Here is a 19707-nt window from a genome sequence, read left to right as displayed (position 1 = left end):
CCTGACCTCAGGTAACCCGGCCATCTCCACCTCCCAAAGTGCTGGGATTACAAGTGTGAGCCACCGTGCCCGGCCCACAATGTTTTCTTTCTGCAAAGAGATACAAATTCAGAAAGCAATTAATTCCAAATCCTTTAAAAAATTAACCTAACTTTTGACAAATTTAAACAATATTTCCAAAGCTTCTGGATGAGACTTTCCCCCTCAGCACTGATTGTGCAGTGTCTTTTCATGGCCCACACTAATCCCTTGACGTTATGTTTGCTCAGCACCACTGTCCTCTCCATTGTCATGTATTCAAAAGAGATGAACACTGTCTTTCAGTGTGTATATAACATTTGTCCCCCAGGTACTCAACCTTTTTTCTCCCGATTAAGAAGCCCAGCTGCAATATTCAACACACAGAAAAATTTAATGTCTTTTCCTGAGTCACTATCCAATAATGTATCTGGGGATTTCAAGGTCAATGCATGCGATCGCTCGACACTGAGAATCTGTAATATGTGGAATCATTGCAAACATGAAAAAGATGCTCAATGCACTTGCTACCTGAAAGTGAATGTGAAAGCATGCAAAATTTAAGGTATAAAAGCTTAGGGAAATATTACAATTGTCACACTTGATTACTTTTAGACACAGCTTGACATTCTTGAAGAATAGTTATTAAAGAGTATTCTTCAAATAGAAAAATTCGCTTATTCAGGTATTCAATAAATATTCATTGGAAGCCTACTGTGCATGTAACATAGCAGATACATTGATGGATAACAAAGATGTATGCGGTATCATATTGACCATATATGTATCATTTCTTAGAAGGCTTTACCAACAAAGAAGAAATAAAGGAGCCTGATTATTGTAAATGGTGATGAAAGCTGTTCCTTATATACAGTAATAACATGACACTAGGCATCCCTTTAACAACTTAGTTCCCCAAAAGACATATATATTACTCACTGATAACCAGGGATAATTTTTTTAATTTTTTTTTTTTTTTTTTTTTTTTTTAAGTAGAGACGGGGTTTCACCATGTTAGCCAGGATGGTCTCGATCTCCTGACCTTGTGATCCGCCCGCCTCAGCCTCCCAAAGTGCTGGGATTACAGTCGTGAGCCACCACGCCCGGCCCGACCAAGGACAATTTTAAGGACACTCTTGTATGGAGAATGTAGACCTAGGCAAATTTGACTGTGAAGAGAGGATCCCAAGAACTGATGCTTAAAAAAATTTCCAAGTGAAAGAAGATAAGTCTGACTTGCTTAAAGAGGTCCTCTGTTTCCTAAGACAATAATATAGATTCAAATCAAAAGGTCGATGCAGAGCAACATTGGGATCTCATGATTAGAAGAGTGGATTTTGTACATATTGCAACCTACTTATTCTCTAAGAACACTTGAAACTAAGGAAGCAGGAATAATCAGATAAGTTGTCTAAGAGAAGCATTTATAGGCTTTTTCTGAGAAGAAACATGATCTTCCAAACTGTGAACTAGATTGTCAAGAGACTGAATTTTTAACATTGTCGAATATGTCACTGAATTGTTCTATAAAAATATGTTATTACTATTTCCCTACATTTTTTATGTAGCTTACAAGTTTAATGGAAAGGTGAATGGTTTTATATCACATTACATCTTTCACATTTTTGGAGAAAAGGAGATGATTCAAGTCTTAATCACATTAGGATAGAGGTAAGGGTTACTGCAAATTCATGGTCTTGAACACCAACTTGGTCCTTAATACTATCTGGAAAGCCCTCTCTTTCTCAGTCATCTCTTTTCTTCTCCATAGGGGTAACTATGCCTGCTTCTCCACAGAACACCAAAACTTCCTGACTCCAAATCTATCATCTTAGAGGATGTGTAGCTTACAACTTCTCCAGCACCCTTCCTTTCACCGCTTCTTAACTGCCAGAGAGAGTTGGAAAAGCTCACCGACTTCTCACCCTTACCCATAGCAACTTGGCTGAGGTCCTGTCATCTCCCACTGCAATTGCTGTAGCCAAGGTCTTCAGTTACCTCCTTTCTTTACGTCCACTGGAAACTTTTCAGTCCTTAGCTTAGTTGACCTCTGGGCTAACTCTCCATCTTTATTATAACTCTTTCTAAAGTTGGAAATACCAAGTCTCCCTGCATTTCTTCTAATTCTTGAGTAAATATTTCTCAGTCTACATAGCAAGTTCTTTTGGTTTTGTCTATTCCTTAAATATGGGTGTTCTGGTAGGTTTTGTCTTGTCCCTCTTCCCTTCTTGCCCTAAGGACTCTCCCTGCACAATCTCATCCACTCCTCTGCCTGAAATTATCATCCCTATGTTGCTGATTCTCAAAGCTATATCTACATTCCAAATTGGTTACCATAAACTTCAAATCTATGTATTCAGCTGCTGCTTGACTTCTCTTGAATGTCGCATAAATATCTCAAACTTAGCATGCTCAAATTGAACACATTATCTTTCCCTCAAATATTTTCTTTTTCCTAGACCCTCTGTATAATAGCATCACAAGCTACATAAATGCTCACTTCAGAAACATGCAGGGATGGTCCACAATGTAGTCAAACCACAAACTCATTTAAAATCTCTTGTGAATCCATGAATGTAAAACTCAAATTGCTGTTACCACTGTGCTAGTGCTGGCCATTCTCACCTCTTGTTTCAATTACTGCACTCGCCTCTTCTTATGTCTCTAAAAGTTTAAACGATGAAAGAAGGATAAATGAATAGCAACTTACCTAGCAGAATGGAGAAACTGAGGCCTAATTGCTAGCACAGGAATGGGAATCCAATAAGAAGCAAGTCGATTCATAATGCAAAACTCAGACAAGGTCAGGAGTCAGAGATGCCAAGTGCCTCTGATTGCCAGGATGTGGAGTGCGGCTTAAACAGATTGACTACAAATCTGTATAAGGAGCAGTTAGATCTCAGATCCTCTTCCCTACCCTGCACAGCTGGATGACTTTATTGACGACTCTTTCCCCATCCCAGCAGAAGGTAGGAGATTTACTCTCCAGAAAAGCAGAATCAAAAGAGGACCCACATGCAGGAACATCAGGCATTTGTGAATAGGGGAAAGAGCTGCACTCCAAAGGTAGATTAAGTGAAAATCTATGTTTTGAACATTGGGATCCCCTGCAAAGCTCTCTGAGTTCTGGTAGCCAGAATTACACTCTTAGAAAGGAGATTGAAGGAATCTTCTCAGGGGAAACCAATGGATCCAAAACGAAAGATTTACAAATGCTGGCAATTGGGTGTCCCAATGAAACCATCGGTTTCCTTTGATCACTCTATTGTGAGGCCTGCCAGCTGACATATAGAGCTTTTAATTAGCTTTTTGGTACCTCACTATTAACTATGAAAAGACAGCTAAAGATCACCAGACAGTTGAGGAAGACTTCTTATCTAGAATACAAAGACCAAAGCAAACAGAAAAGAAACTCAGGAAACAACCACAACAAAAAACCAACCCAATAAAACAAAACAGATAAGCAGCAGGGGGCAGACAAAAACATTAAAACATTTTTATGACTTCAAAGAGATGGAGAGTGTTATTGCAAACAAAAACAATTATAAAAACCAAGCTGAGATTCCCTTACATGGTTGAGAGGGATTTAAGGATCATGTCAGGAGGTTTATGTCTGAATTATGACAGGTTTATAGAAAAGTAAGCAATTAAAAAAAGAGGCAGTTAATTTCAGGAAAAAATTAAGTGGAACAAGGAAGAAAGTGAAATTATAGTGCAGTATAAGGCTCAACTGTGAACAATATTTACATAGGAGTCATAATAGAAACTTTCAATGTTGAACTACCAATTGTGCTATAACTATATTGGAATGATGAGGGAAGAGTGAGTGAGTGTGTGTGTGTGTGTGTTTGTGTGTGTGTATTTTAGAGAGAGAGAGGTGGGCAGTGGTGGGGAGGGGTGTTGGGAATATTGTAGGTAGTCTAAATCCTTACTCTCCATAGTGAGAAGTCAGTAGACAATAGTCAAAACTATAAACCCCAGAACTAGTAGTGTTAAGTTGAACCATCTAAAATTGTTGATATTAACCCCCTTTCGCCTACGAAAATGGTAGCTTCTGATGATTCCTGTTATTTAGAAACACGGATGTCAATAATAGAAGCGCTATCTTGAAGAGTCAAACTGGGTATCTGTGGGTAACAAGTTGGAAGTGGAGTGGAAAGTTTTTGCCATAAGCTTTGAAGAACTATTTGGCATTTTAAACAATATATTAATTTAATAAAATTAAAGTTAATAAAAAATGAGTAAGTGTCTTACTTCCAAATTACCTAAGTGAAAAGACCCAATGTTACTAGGAGAAATGATTACTAGCAGTAATTGATCTAATTGTGACCACTTTTTCTCCTTTAAGATTTGTACCTTTTAAAAAATGACTATTAGGAGAGCTTAATCTGGAAGACAAAAATAGTCTGTTCTAATAGCCTGTTTAGAACTTTAATTGAAAATGTGGTTGCGTCTTCCTCCAATTAAGCTAATTGAAGTGGAATTCTGATTGGGCCCTGTGAGAGAGGAGTTCCCCAGCCGAGGCTCATAGAATAACAGCTGACTCTAAAAAGAGAAAAATAGAAGCAAATGCTTAGGAAGACTGGTGAATCAATTCTAGAGGGATTTCAATCTACTTATTGACTGATATATGCAGGGAAAGTAGCCAGAAAAGTTCTGAAAAAACATGTGGGGTTGTGGGAAGCTTCATCTGAGGTTTTAAATAAATGTGTGTGAACTACTCCTGGTATTTTAATTAGAAACTTGCAACCTTTTCCAGAAAGGGCACCTGTTTTAATCCCTTTATTATTTACAAGACAAGCCCATGCTTTGCATCCAACAGGTACGGGTAAGTTGTAAAGTATATGCAGATATTAAAATATTAAATATTTAAATGAATAAATAAATACAATTTAAAAACAGTATAAAATATTAACATATTAAAAATATTAGAACTTCCCTCCTCATCCCTTAGGAATGCCTAAGGCCTGTGGAGTGCATAAAACAGCCCTGATTATTTCTGGAGTTGGACTGGGGAATTTGCACTTTAGAGAGCATTCTGGTGATTTTGCTATAGGTTCTCGTGCTCTTTGGAGGCCCAGCTCAGGTCTAATGCCCAAACCAATCTGTCCCTCAACCTTTTCTCACTTGATAGCTATCATTTGTATAATTTTATTTTGCCGAACTCTTTTAAGGTAAATGCTTTGGACCCTGTTCTCATGCTGCCAATAAAGACATATCAGAGCTGGGTAATTTATAAAGGAAAGAGGTTTAAATGATTCACAGTTCACCATGGCTGGGGAGGCCTCAGGAAACTTATAATTATGGTGGAAGGGGAAGCAAACATATCCTTCCTTACATGGTGGCAGCAAGGAGAAGTGCAGAGTGAAGGTGGGGGGAAAACCTCCTTATAAAACCATCAGATCTTGTGAGAACTCACTATCATGAGAACAGCATGGAGGTAACTGCCCACATGATTCAATTACCTCCCACCAGGTCCCTCCCACCACATGTGGGGAATATGGAAACTACAATTCAAGATGAGATTGGGGCGTAGACACAGTCAAACCATATCAGACCAAAAGGGAGCTGAACAATCTGGATTTAACACATTTATTGTTTTCAGTATAAATTACTTACTAAATACATATTTAATTGCGATTTAACTTTTGCAACTTTGCAGGATTTTTACATAAATGTATTCATAAATAAAAAATAGTTTGTCATTTTCTTCTTGATTTATGATAAAGACAGAATATATTTTTCACTTAAAGTAGATGGTAAAGTACTTATCGCATAAGAGATGTTCAAAAATTGGTGAAAATGGGCTCAATCCTTAATATACTACTTAATATATTTTAATACTATAACTGAATACATTTAATAATGCTTGAGATAGTAAAACATAAGAAAACATTGTCATAAATTAGCATTAAATTGGAAATAGTGGCATTCTGAGATAACTGTCAGCTCTTTCTGAATCTCTGCCAAAACCATAAGTCAGGAAAGAATCAGGTATCTTTCTTAAGCTTTTGATCCTGACCTTCTGAGAATAAGAAAAAAATGGCAATAACATAAACAAATTTCTGATCAATAAACTTGTCTTCTCATTTTGTGACGGGTGAGAGGACAGACAGGGAGGGTTAAGATAGAGAATTACCATGTTTTTTCTGGAATCCATCTCCTCCTTCTAGCTCTCTTAGCAGATTAGCTCTAAGCTTTGACTATGTCTCTTCTTCCTCCAAGTTTCAACCCCTGACATCACCTTAGTCCCTTAGAACTTACCTGTAATATCAGTGATGACTGTGGAAAGAAACCCTGTATGACTCAAGTTGAGTTTCTGCTCCTCAGAGGAACCAGGGTTTAACACAGAAATTAAGTTCAGTTCCAGAAAAATTAGGCAAGTATGTGTCTTCTAGTTTGGGAACAAAGATTTGTGGCTGCTTTTCTGCCACGCGGACACCCACCTAACTGAGCAGTTGGGTTTTCTGGGGATTTCTGGGGGGGCAGAAGTGGATTCCATAGCTGCTCAGGGACACAGCAAGACTCCCTTCCTCCCCTACAACTACTCCTTCAGTCAGAGTCTAAATCACCTAAGAAGATACAGCGAGTCCTAATTCCTCTCCTTTTACCTCACCTTTCAAAGAGCACTCCCACCCTTCAGAGGGCTCATTACAATCTGATATTTGCAGTTCAACAGTGTCAAGCTTATTCTTATAAAAGCAATTAGAGCTTTTGTAGTCTTAGGTGGAATTTTATGTGTCTTGGGGATATTTTTCCTTAGGAATACTGCTCTGTTTTTATAATAGGAATCAGCTAGGTAATTGGGGTTAATAGCAGAATTTTGCTCTTCGGGTTCTTTTTTTTTCTTCAGAGAGGCTTTGGACTGATCTTACGGAGAGGAATATCTTTGAGGCTGCAGCCATCAGCAGTGTCTGACATCATCTGAATCTGTATAAAGGAAAAAAAGTATCCTTTTTTCTCCCAATAAATATTCTCATAAATGGGTAGGATTGGACTATGCATTCAAAGGGAAAAATGTGGGGCTCGATGGCAGATCGCAGAGTCTGAGTTAAAAGAAGTGAGTTTAATTCGAATTCCTGTGATGGGGACTTAAAGGCAAATGACCCCACTTTCTTTGTGAATGTTAGAACCTATTGTACAGAGCTTTCGTGAGAGTTATATTAAGTAATATAGATATAGTTATTCTAAAGTGCTGTATAAAAGTAAGGCATTATTATCAGGCAGCTAAGCAAAGTGAAAAGCTTTAATAAAACCTATCCTTTACTGACTCTAAGGAGGCTTTTTAAAAAACCAACGTGCAAACATGACATTATTCGCCGTTAAAAAGTTAAGGTTTGCGGACCAAATGGCTCAGGAAGCAATAAGATGATCTAATATGTCAAGGAAGACATTTTAAAAAAGGAATAAGTATATTGTAGAGAGAGGTAGGAGACAATCTACTTCTTTTAAAGAGCTGTATCTATTCATAACATATTTGGAAAAGTATTGAATTCAGGAAAATGAAACCTAGAAAGGTGCTCTAAAAAATCAGGATGTAATTCAGTAAAAAATGTTTAGTCAGGCGAATTAAGATTAATGACAGGATATTAAACCATGGCAGTCTTTGATGGAAGAGTGTGCACAAAACAGGGTGTGTGTCCTGTTTAACCCTGAATCCCTATCACCTTGATCTGTGCCTGGCTCAGAATAGGTTCTCAAATGATTTTTGGTAGAATGAATGTAAAAGTTCAGGAGTATCGCTAATGGGAGATGTCTCAACCAAGCTGAAATTAATGTCTGAATTATGCAAAGAGATACTTACTTCATGGTTCAGATTTATTATCAAGATATATGCCAAGGCTTTTCAGCTTCTTCATTATTCCAAACTTTTGGCAATCACAAGACCAGAACGGTCTTTGCAAATGTTGGTGGTGAGTGGTCAACAAAACTTAGAATGAAAGAAAACAAGTTTTTTTACTGGAAAACTTCATCTCTTAGGGTTGGGATGGCACATAGGTCACATTACGCTGCCACTGGTGGCTGCTTGGGGCCTTCCCTTTAGGGATTCTAGGGTTATATCTAGGTGATCCATGAAAAAATGTCAATTGATTGGCAATGTCTGCCATGGGCATCGGAGTCAGGCATGGTGGACAAACACCTCTTAAAATGGTTTTTAACTTGAAGGTTGAATTTGTGAACAACTTCCTACCTTCTCCATTAATAACACCTTCATGATTATTACGGAATGTAGTTTATTATGGTGACTGAAACGGGGGAATTTGGGAAAGATATTGCAAGATTGACAGGGACTGAGGCTGTATGTGGCAGAAGCTCTTAGCGCTCAGTGGATACACATGTGCTTGTTTACATTTCCCTGCCTCTTCCTAGTTAGTTTGGGGCCATGTGACTGAATTCTCCTTGTCAGGGTCACCTTGCAGGCAGTGTGTTCCAGATGGCATTGCTACCGGGGAAGAAAGATCTACAAACACCCTGAACTTTGCAATAGTGAGGAACACACTTTATGGAGATGTTGGATTTTGTCTGCTGCCGCCGCCAGGTTAATTACCCTAATATATAATTATTATGGGAAGTGGTTTGTTCAGGTGATGGGAAAAAGCTTACTCTATCTAAATGTTTGCAGGTCTGAGACCTCACATTGCACTCCCTGCCTACCTTACCATTAGGTAAGGGAAGTTTTCTAGAATCCTACAGACTTTATTTGTTCTGTCATTGCCTCAGGGGTACCATAACCCTGGTGGTGTTGCAGAGTTGGGGCCAGGGTGGGGTGGTGTGGGGAGGGACTTGGCTGTAGAGCACTGTGCATACTACTGGACAATGTACATGTTCTTCAAAAAGTATATTTCTAATTGCATCATTCCCTTCTGTGGGTTTCTGTTTCTGACCAAGTTAACTTTAAATGGCAAAACAAAAACAAAAACAAAAACAAAAGCAAAACAACAAATGTCATCTTCTTTGGCATTCGTGATCCTTGTGTTCTGATGTCATGTGATTTTTCCAAGACTAGTCTCTTTCAAGGACCTCAGCGGAGACCAGTGACATAGCTTGAAATCTCTTTTCTCTTTCCCCTGCTATTCTTTTTGATTTCTAATCTCACTTTATCTCAATCCTACTGATTCCTAAGCCTGCCCCACACTCCTCTACCTGGGCAGAAACAGTTTCTCCCTGCTAAGGACACTTTCATCAGTATCTCTCATGAGATGTCTCCACAGCACCTTCTAGTGTGTACTGTGGTGATGAGCTTATCTCATTTCTTCCCCCCATACCATGAGCTTCTGGAGAGGAAGCAAAGTACACCAATTTGACTTACTGTCAAATATTTGGCGGCACACAGTGGAGCGCCTAATACATATGGAACAAATGAATAAATGAAAATCTTCTTTGCAAAGCTATGAATTCTCACAGTTAAAAAAAATTATGAAATGGCCCCTGTAGAAATAGAAGGCAGCTTAAAAAAGAACATGCATGTAAAATATTACAGCTCTAAATATGCTAAAAACATTTTATTTACTCATAGTATCAGAATGCTGGAAGGGTTTTATTTTTATGTTCCTCAGATCTGACTGCTGTTTTATCTTTTTTTTTTTTTTTTTTTTTAATTCAGAGACCCATGGACAATTGTTTTTATGGGAGTGAAATAATGGATGGAGATTTGGGAGGGGCAAAAATATAGAACTGTCCTTTTTTTTTTTTTTTTTTTAAAATCTAAAGCAATTCCCATGAAAATAAACAGCTTTCTTCTCAATAAAGCAATTCCATAAATAATAGTAGAATTATTGATGTCCCAGCAGTAAGAAATCTGCAGGGCAGTGCCAATGATATATATTGCTGGCTGGGAAAAACTATTGTTTACAAGCTAATTATTGTACAACAAGTCAGCTTTTGTTAGCTCTCTGAGAGGTTAAAACAGCAGGTTCAGAAAGATAAAGTATGTCAGCATGTATATTTAAAAAATCTGTGATTACAAACAATAGTTTGAGAGAATTGAAAAAAAAGCAAGTTAGAAAAAAACCAGTTTATTAAGTAATATCATATAAATAACTTGTTACAAAAATTGATTTGCAAAAGGCATATTTACTCTTTGTGAGAAATCACTTTTTAAATTGCATTCTTTTCAAATTTATAAGTCTAAGAAAACAAAACCAAATAAAAGAAGCCATTTCAAGGAGTGCGTATTTGCCATTTGACTGCAACAAAAGGCCCGGCCACACTGAGCTAAAAGGTAATACTCTCGACCCCATTCTTCTAACACAGAAAACTTTCTCAGGTAAACTGTGGGGTTATGAGAATCCCCCTAACTAGAAATGTTGATGGGAACTGAGCATTGCTTGCTTTCATCAGGTGTTCTTGTTGCCAAAGACATGAACGATACTGAGGAAAACGACAAGAGTGAGCATTCCCGCCAGTAAATCTTCAAGGGTGGCATCCGTTTCAATTTATACTTGGAAGTATTTTTAATTAAAAACAATCAATACCAAAAAGCTTTTATTTTGTGGGTTTAAAAGTCACAAATCACAGTGGGAGAATGCCAAATTGCTTTAGCTTGGAACTACTGAAGACGCACATAGCATTTATTATAAGGCCTACTCTTAGGCAGTTCACTCTCAAAGCAATGAAAATAATCTCAAACCAAACATTACAGTGGGTTTGAAGCGTTCCTACGTTTCTTCCGAGCAGGTCAGTTTTACATTTGCTACACAGCATTCCCCACGAATGCCTGGTAATTCTATACATTTGATTCTTTAATAAACACTAAACTAATAGATCATAGAAAACTAAAAGCTTAGAGAAGGTGCCTCCAGACATATTTACATAAATAACGTAGCCTCACAAGAAAGACCAAGATCTCATTAGCGTGGAATGCTTTTTCCACAAGGCTGGGTCCATGCCTCGTTTGTCAGATTAACCCCATTTGAGGAGAAATTTGAGTTTGTGGTTCATGGGTTTTTGAAAAAAAAAAAAAAAAAAAAAGGAATTAAGCAACTTGTAAAAGCTCTTTTGAAATTAATCTAATAACCCAGTGGCTCCTCGGCTAAGTGCCTCAGTCCTGTCTGAAATACAGCGGGTAAGAGCCTTTGTTTCCATTTGACCTCTTTTCAACACTTTCATCTGCCGGCTCTGTTGGGCTAACGTTTCCCCCAAATAAAAATGAAAATGCACCATAAATAAGGTATTACAAAAAGGGGAGTAGATTAAAGATTGTCTCAGCAATGCTTAAATTAAATTGACGATGCAGAGACCATAAACTTCCGGCTTTAAAAATGAGCTATTTCTTTATTAACTTTTAACAAGTGTATGAGTCAATGTATTTTCTTTCTAAGAGGGTATTGCTCTCCACATTAAATATGGTCGGGGTCTGATATTTTTAGTAGAGAATTACCCTTTAGAAAATTATTCCATAAAGATGCCATAGGGAGATTAAAAATGCTGTGACCATAAGAGCTACTAAACATTTAAGGAGACCATAATATAATTCTATATTCTCTGGAAAAGGAAGCTGCTTGTTTGAGCTTATGAAATAGCTCATTTTCCTGAAGATTCACACACCAAGTGTTAATTTTTCTACTCTTATAATCTGATAAGGAAGGTTGTGGTGTTAATTTAAACACAGTAGACTGCTTGGATTTTTGAGTCCCCTTTTATAATATCACAATTCAAACAAGATTTCATCTTGATAAAACATAAAAATTAAGATTACACTATAATGATCCTTGTTAGAGGATACATTTCAAAATAGTGGGGGAATCATGACTTTTTAGAGCCTTCTTCCAGAGTAATTACACTGCTTCAAAACTAGTTATTAGGATAAAATAATTTATTTGGTGGTCTGTTCCTGGTGAAAATGAATTTAGCTGATAAGGATGAGTACCTGATTTGAATATTTAGTTGGCACCCAGGAATCAACTTTGATTTTCTTTTCAACTGCATACTTTTTATGGTGCTTGAGTATATAGAATTGTCCAAGTCATAGTTTACACACCACTATCCCCAGTGGGATATCTATTTCCAGGCAAAGCATTTGATGTGAGATATTGTTCAGCCAATCAGGACACTTAAAATTTATATATGTAAAAGTGAAAGTAATAGAAACATTCTAAAGTTAATTTGGATTTATAAAATTTGGATGGCCTAAGCTACAGATTCAATTTTTAAGGCCGGGCGCGGTGGCTCACGCCTGTAATCCCAGCACTTTGGGAGGCCGAGGCGGGCGGACCACGAGGTCAGGAGATGGAGATCATCCTGGCTAACATGGTGAAACCCTGTCTCCACTAAAAAATACAACAAAAATTAGCCGGGCGTGGTGGTGTGTGCCTGTAGTCCCAGCTACTGGGGGCGCTGAGGCAGGAGAATGGCGTGAACCCGGGAGGCGGAGCTTGTAGTGAGCAGAGATCGCGCCACTGCATTCCAGCCTGGGCGACAGAGCGAGATTCTGTCTCAAAAAAAAAAAAAAAAAAAAAAAAAAAATTTTAAGATTTTCTGCACAACTCTTTGGGAGCTGAAAATAAAAACTAAACCACACGTTTTTTATACTGCGTTAAAATTAAATGGGCAGGTTTTGTTCCATCTGAAAAGGGAGTAATTTCATTGCTGAACATCCCTTTATGGACACAAACTGTAAAGGCAGGAAAGTTCTGAAAGAAACATCTATTTACTGTGCCCACATTCCCTCTCTTGTGGTTCTATGGAATAATCTTTGCTTCTTTCCCATTTGGTTTATTTACTTATTTGGGCACAAATGTTTTTTAGGCCTTTCAGAAGTAAGTGGCCAGGAAGTGAAGGGGCTTTAAACAATGGCTTAATGTTTTTTTAAATTCAGCTTATTCTAGGGAATATCTTAGTAGTTTAAAGGAACTCTTGCTTTTGAATAGAGGGCAAAAACATATCATCAGAAAGCTCTCAATGTCCTTGAAACAACCCACAAAAGCAATCTGGTTATGCTTAATGAATTTTAGTTTCAAAGTGATTGAAACAAATATTAAAATTTTACTTCTTCCCACTCTCCTTCCATCTTTCCCATCACCAACATCTAAAATTAGGAAACAGACAATGAAAAAACTGGGCTGAAAATTATTTTTTTCTCCAATAATCTTTCATGTTGCCTGGGACCTAGCAATTAAAAAAAAAACCTGCGCATGCAATGATGTTTGACCTGATACTCAGGTGGGGTGGGAAGGAAGTGAGACGAAGCTGGAGAATGATGGAACTATGACTCTTATTGGTTCCACGATGTCAAAGAGTCTGAATTATAGGAAAACGTCACTCCAACTTGATACTTACAGTACCCTGGTACTAAATATTTAGCCCCAGTCTCAAATTATCCAATTTCCTATAAATTTACTTCATCATCAGCTTTTATGATAAGAGATTAAAGTTATTTCCATAAGTAATCATATTAACCTGTTCTTGGTATGCTGTGTCATCTGCAGGGAGGGATAAAATACCTTGCCAATTACATCTCAGATATTCTGCTATAGAACTACTTACTTTTACTTATTAGGAGAACTCAGATCTTACCTTTAAACATTGGAAACTGCTAGTGTCAATCCTCAACTTCAGATGATACCTTTCTTTTTACAGGACTATCTTCCTTGATTCAATTTGTTACGTGACATGAAACATACAGATAGAGACCTCTTTAATTTTACAGTAAATCGTGTGATTAAGGTGCTGTTCTATTGCTATGAGTAAGTAGCTTCTAACTTTACTAAGCTTTTTTCAACACTTACCTGTGACTATGATACATATCAATTCATTAGAGTGAAGACCTCATATAGCCTTTTGTTTGCATTCGTGTGTGTGTGTGTGTGTGTGTGTGTGTGTGTGTATGTGTGTGTATGAAGAACTAGAAAAAAGAAACCCTGAAAGCAGGAAATAGCTCAAGCATGAAATACTTGTTACTATATAGGGCAGTCCATTATAAAATCGGAAACCATTCAGAAGACACAAGGAATAATATGATTGTAAAAAATTTTCACTCTAATCAGGTAACCCAAAATACTACATTTCTCTTCTTTTAACGTTTCCATCTTTACTTCTTGGGTAATACACCTATTTAAAACTTAACTAAACAACAGTGTGTTTCCAAACAGAAAATATGTGCTGATATGACAATATCCCCAAATGGAAATGACACTAAAATTATTTGTAGAAAATTAATATTAATTGAAAATAAATCCCTAAGACTAATAAGTGAAGTCAGCATATTCTTAAGTATATATATATACAGAGCCTGTCTTTTAGGTTTTCAAAACAAGGATGTTTTCATTATAGTACGCTGGAATTTCTGATGACTGCACAAGGTAAGATTCTAATGATAAGTGCCATTAGAACAGCGTGTGAAATAAACGATTTGAATCTGCCAGAAGGATTAGTTCAGTTCAGTTGGGTCCTCTGGATAATAACTATGAGGCTAATTGCATAATTAGAGAAATAATAGATTGGATGGATTTTACATTACTTTTCTGTCATAGTTTGAGATCATTACTTTATCATTAGTTCAAAGTCAAGGATGGCAGGATGGTCATGAAAGCAAAGTTAAAAACAATGAAAAAAAATTAATGCTTTTGAAAATCAACTATCATTTTAATTACAATCTTAAACACTTTTGTTTAAGGGAATCCAATTTTCCTCTTCCAAGGGTCTTCCAAACATGGAATATGTAGGTTTTCATCATAATCTCAATGTTGTTTATCCAAATGTATCACGTTATATAAATATGTAGAGGTTTCCAGATGTCAAGGGCAGGGTATTAGGTTCAAGTGTGGCTGGCTCTAACCTCTCCACTGAACTCCTAGAGTGAGATTTAAGTTTTATTTAATCTAACTTTACTAATTCAACTTAGTCGTGTAAGAAGGATATGAAGAATATGAATTATTGTACTTCACACTGCTACTTTCATGTACAGTATAGTAGAATAATACTGACAACTATAGACAAGAAGTTAAAATTTGTCTCAGGAAAATTCTTTCAAGAATTTTTAAACAATTTTGACATTAGCCTACTGATAGCTGAAAGAATTTCAAGTGACCCGTGATACATGTGGTGGCCAAAACTTTAAATGTATGGTAAAATATATTTCCTTGGTTAACATTATTAGCTATTTCCCTCCCCCTTTATATGGTACAAAGGCAAACTTTCGCATGTCTAGTCTAGGATATAACAAACTATGAGTTAGTGGAAGGAATGAAGTCGTACTAGGTTTGTGGTTGCTTTTGGATGTTACCGTTTAATTTGCTTCTATTCCTTAAGAGTAATGAGAATTTTAACATATGGGTGGATTTGAGGTTTTGAATAGTAGTTGATGGCAGAGAAAGTTCTTGAAGAACAAATAGCATGGGCAAGTGTTATTTTAAATTCTTTGTGACACAAATAAACACCCCTATGTAGTTTATCTCTTTGTGAGCCGATATGCCCTCATTTCTTTTACTATGATGATATTTTTATCTTTAAAGCACAGTCCTTTATCCCATTAGCCTGTGAAATGTACAGTTAGGGCAGTTGGCTGACCTGACATGGAGTGTAGTAAAACACCAGGACAGCGGAAGCGGGCACGCTGCCCTGAGAACAAGTGGAAATACTGTTCCCTGTCCTCCCCTCCGGCACCTGCCTGTTGGGCTGACTTGGTTAACTGGATGCACTAAAAAATAAAAATTTGCCCCTTGGAAGCTCATAAAAGTGTACTAGAAAAAAGTCTCTAACATTGGATCCACACGGACTGCAGCCATTGGCTTTTGGAACGGGTAGAACAGAGAAGCCTTCACGGAGTAGTGGATAAATATAAAGAAATAGCCACTTCACATATTTCAGTGTCGTATTGGAAAATGAAAAAGGCAACAGATTAGGAGTCTTTGTCACTGTCCACTCCTCCATACATATCTGCAAGCTTTTTGAATCGAGGTCCCCAGTCACTAAGGTAATCATAGTCTTGATCTGCATCCGTGGTCACTGACTCCAGCGAGCTCAGGGAATCCGCCACGGAGCCAGTGCCTTCATAGGCGTAAGTGGCCAAGGAGTCGTATGGCGGGGCAGTGGGGTCCGTGTCATTTTCCTTTAACCTTTGGTTAATGAAATCTCTGACATCGGTGTTGTCGCGAGCTGTTGGAGTCCGTCGGGGTAGGAAAAGGGCTTCGGGCACAATGTCCCTTCGTAATTTGTTGTCCTCTATGGCTTCAGGATTCCTCAGGGTGCCGATATCAAAAGCCTGGGTGTCCTCCTCTCCACCACCTTCGTCGTTGTAACTGACAATGTTATCTCTGATGTCCTCTTTGGAAATGATCAAAGGCTCTTTTTTTCGCTGCCGCCTCAGAGCTGCAAACAGCACCACTGTCACTGGAAGCAGAAAACAAAACAGAAAGGGAAGGAAAAGTTAATTTGCTGCCCAATTAATGTCAGGAAGAAACACTGTGCTCAAATGTGAAGTTTTAAAAGTTCTCTAGAAAATGCAGACTCAACTTTTATTTCTTTAAGGATGCACTTGCCTCCATCCATGATCAAACCGGGACCCATAAAATGGAGTAAATATTTGAAAGAAGGTTATAATTTAAGTAGAGGATAAAACACCATCATATTTTGGCAGTAGTTCCTTTTTACTTTGAAATGGCAAACTAGTTTCAAGGTAAGGAAAAAAATAATAAAGAAAAGAAGCTCGGCCTCAGTGAAAGTACTGCAATCAGGGTGCAAATTATGCTGAACACCTAAAATGCTCTGAAACTGGTTACAAGGACAAGACTGGCACCTTTGGGAATGTGTTGAAGGGTTTGCACAACTCCACATCTAAAATAACTTTTGCGCTATGCCTTTTTTTTTTTTACCTGAGAAAAGTGTAAAATTAGTTTAAAATCCAAAGTAGACACTGAATATTTGCATACCTTTCCTACATATAAAGCAATATTATTCCAGAAAATACCTGGAGAGACCCAGATATAATTCAGAAAGCCATTTTGGATTTTGAGATTGGCTAATTTGAAGGGGGCAGGTAAGAATCCACATGCCATATTATTTCTGTTTGAGCTAAATGAAATAAATACATGTAAGTGAGATTTTTTATTTTTTATTTTTCAAAGGTTCATGTTCTATAAGTTTGTTACTGAGAATGTTCATTCTTTTGATTTTTTCCCTCCTAACTCAAATTAGAGGTAAAACAAGAATTGCGTTTAAATAGCTCCTGATCTTTCTTCACAGCTGGCTGGGTGGAACACAGCTGGCTACTTGTAGAGAGACACATCTATCTATGAATGGACATATGGGTGAAAAAATAAAAACACAGTAAAAGCTTAGAGAGAAAACAGCCATCTAGGCCAAAAAGTGAATTGTTAAACTGGGTTTGTGCAGAGGAGTGTATTACAGGAAGTCACAGTAATGTCTCTTTACTATTTTATCCATAACAAGGCCCAATTTTTATGAGACATGAAAACTGAATTACTGCAATAAGAATTACAGAATAATGCCTTTTTAGTGAGTACACAAAACTACCTATATAATAATAGATGTAGGCACACCCATGTATCTATATATTAAAATTTCATTAGTATTAATAATAATAATTGGTTACCCGTTGAGAGCTTTCCATGTGTTAAGCCCTGTACTAAGTGCTTAACATACTGAATCTCATTTAATTATCATAATAGCCCTACAAGTAGATACCATCATTAAAACCCCATTTTACATAAGAGGAAGTTGAAGTTTAAAGATGTTACAGGTACATGCAATTCAAATTCAGGTTGGTCAGACTAAAAAGCCTGCATTCATAATTGCCATGTTTTGAAGCAGATTTGGAGTATAGACTATTTCCAAAGGAAATGTAACTTTGCCACTTTCAAGTGTGTGGTTTTGTAGTTGTATGCACCCTCTTTTGCTGCCAGAAAGTATCCTGATGCCTTGTTTGATGCAACCATTCAGGGTATTTATTCATTCACGCATTTGATAATATTTATGTAGTGCCTACCCTGTACCAGGTACAGTTCTAGGCACTGAGTGGGTGGGTGGGGTGGGGGACAGTTGGATGGAGACAAAATAAACAATGTGTGTAGTAAATAAGGAAATTGTTAGAAGGTGATAAGTGCAATATGAACATGAAAGAGCAGAGCAGAACAAGGTGGAGAAAAATACTTCTGTATATGTTTGAGGAGCCCATATGAACATACAGCACAGTTTTTTTTTTTTTTTTTTAAGACAGAATCTCACTCTGTCACCCAGGCTGGAGTGCAGTGGCACGATCTCAGATCACTACAACCTCTGCTTCCCAGGTTCAAGCAATTCTCCTGCCTCAGCCTCCTGAGTAGCTGGGAGTACAGGCACCCACCACCATGCACAGTTAATTTTTGTATTTTTAGTAGAGACGAGGTTTCACCATGTTGGATTAGGCTCGTCTCGAACTCCTGACCTCAAGTGATCCACCTGCCTCGGCCTCGCAAAGTGTTGGGATTACAGGCGTGAACCACCATGCCCAGCCAGCACAGTTTTGTATATGTTATCGGAGGGAGGTTGCATAATTTGAGCAAAGACATGAAGAGCACTGCAGGGCTTTGGGCAGAGGGATGCTCATGATCTACCTTTCATACTGGTTGCCAGTGTGAACAATGACACGGATTTGCAAAACAGAGGGTTGGAAGTAAGGACATCCATTGGGATTAGAGAACAGAATCAAGCCAACTGTCTCTCCAAGAATTAAGCTCTTATGTACATGGGCTCATTCAGTCACGTAAGGCAAGGGGCAGGCATTTATCACCTCCTAATTCTTCCCTGGCTTAAGGTATCTATAGCTTTTATTTTAGTCTTATGCACGTCTGAAAGCGCAACTGTCTAGAAGGGAGAGGGCACTTTCAAAAAATCAAAGGCATTTATTCAAGGTCTAATTCTTCTACAGCTAAAACTGCTTATATCTTTTCTCATTAGCCCAATGCACATCTGAACAGGATTTCTTGAGAGTGTCGCTGTCTAGAAGGAGAGCTCTCAGAGCTAACTTTTATAAAGTGAAAATGTGATTGCTAAGCACATGGGGCAAACACATTCTTAGAAAGTGATGCCCTATGAGGTGCCCTCAGCAGGAACTGAGTCTCCCCCTTTCCCTTACCCTTTTGAAGCCAGAGGACAGCAGTAAGATTTTTGGCGGAATAGAGGGACAATTGGGCAAATTTGTGTTCAAATTTCATCGTAAAACTAGAGGGTAAAGAGATCTGGGTTAAATTAAATGATTTGACCGTTCTAAGCCTATTTTCTTATTTGTAAAAGAAAATTAATAGCACAGTGCCCAGTCTTATTGTCATGAATGAGTTAATAAATGTGAAAGTTTTGCAAGTTCTAAGGCACCATAAGACATGAGATGTAGTAGTTGTCTAGTTGTTTTTACTGTTGTTTTATTTTTGTAAAATATCCATTACCATATGATCCACTTTCTGGACTCCAGATTTCTTCCTATATCAATGTGGCTTTGCTTCATTTTCCTCCACTTTCTTCAATCGTCACATTTTAAGTTTGGGCTGTCTTTTGGCCTGGAAATCGCCCTGCATTTCATAAGTTTGAAAAGAAAGTAGAGTGCAGTCTTCAGGCACCAAGCCTGGGGAAGAAAATTTAGGTTGGGAACTTTAGTTTTACCACGTGTTAGACACGTGACTTGGCTACATTACTTCACATCTTGGAGCTGCAGTTTTCATATTTAAGGTACAGATAATTATACACCAAATGGTGCTG

The 19707-nt window shown here is 37.7% G+C and overlaps 1 protein-coding gene across 3 annotated transcripts in view; it reads right to left on the bottom strand.

Annotated features, from left to right (window-relative positions):
* Positions 1-10018: 10018 nt before the first annotated feature.
* Positions 10019-19707, bottom strand: part of CDH6 (cadherin 6) — a 135461-nt gene continuing 125772 nt past the window's right edge. For 2 of the 3 annotated variants that reach the window (XM_011513921.4, NM_004932.4), the window contains exon 12: positions 10019-16347. In XM_011513921.4, coding sequence (XP_011512223.1) covers positions 15857-16347 — 491 coding nt within the window. In that variant the 3' untranslated portion in view covers positions 10019-15856. Of the gene's footprint in view, positions 16348-19353; positions 19574-19707 lie in introns of those variants that run through there. The other variant, XM_047416591.1, reaches the window with a different exon arrangement.

Source organism: Homo sapiens, chromosome 5 (assembly GCF_000001405.40).
Source record: "Homo sapiens chromosome 5, GRCh38.p14 Primary Assembly".
NCBI lineage: Eukaryota > Metazoa > Chordata > Mammalia > Primates > Hominidae > Homo > Homo sapiens.
The sequence above is the reverse complement of the archived record's forward strand: the minus strand, read 5'-3'. Positions and strand labels throughout refer to the sequence as shown.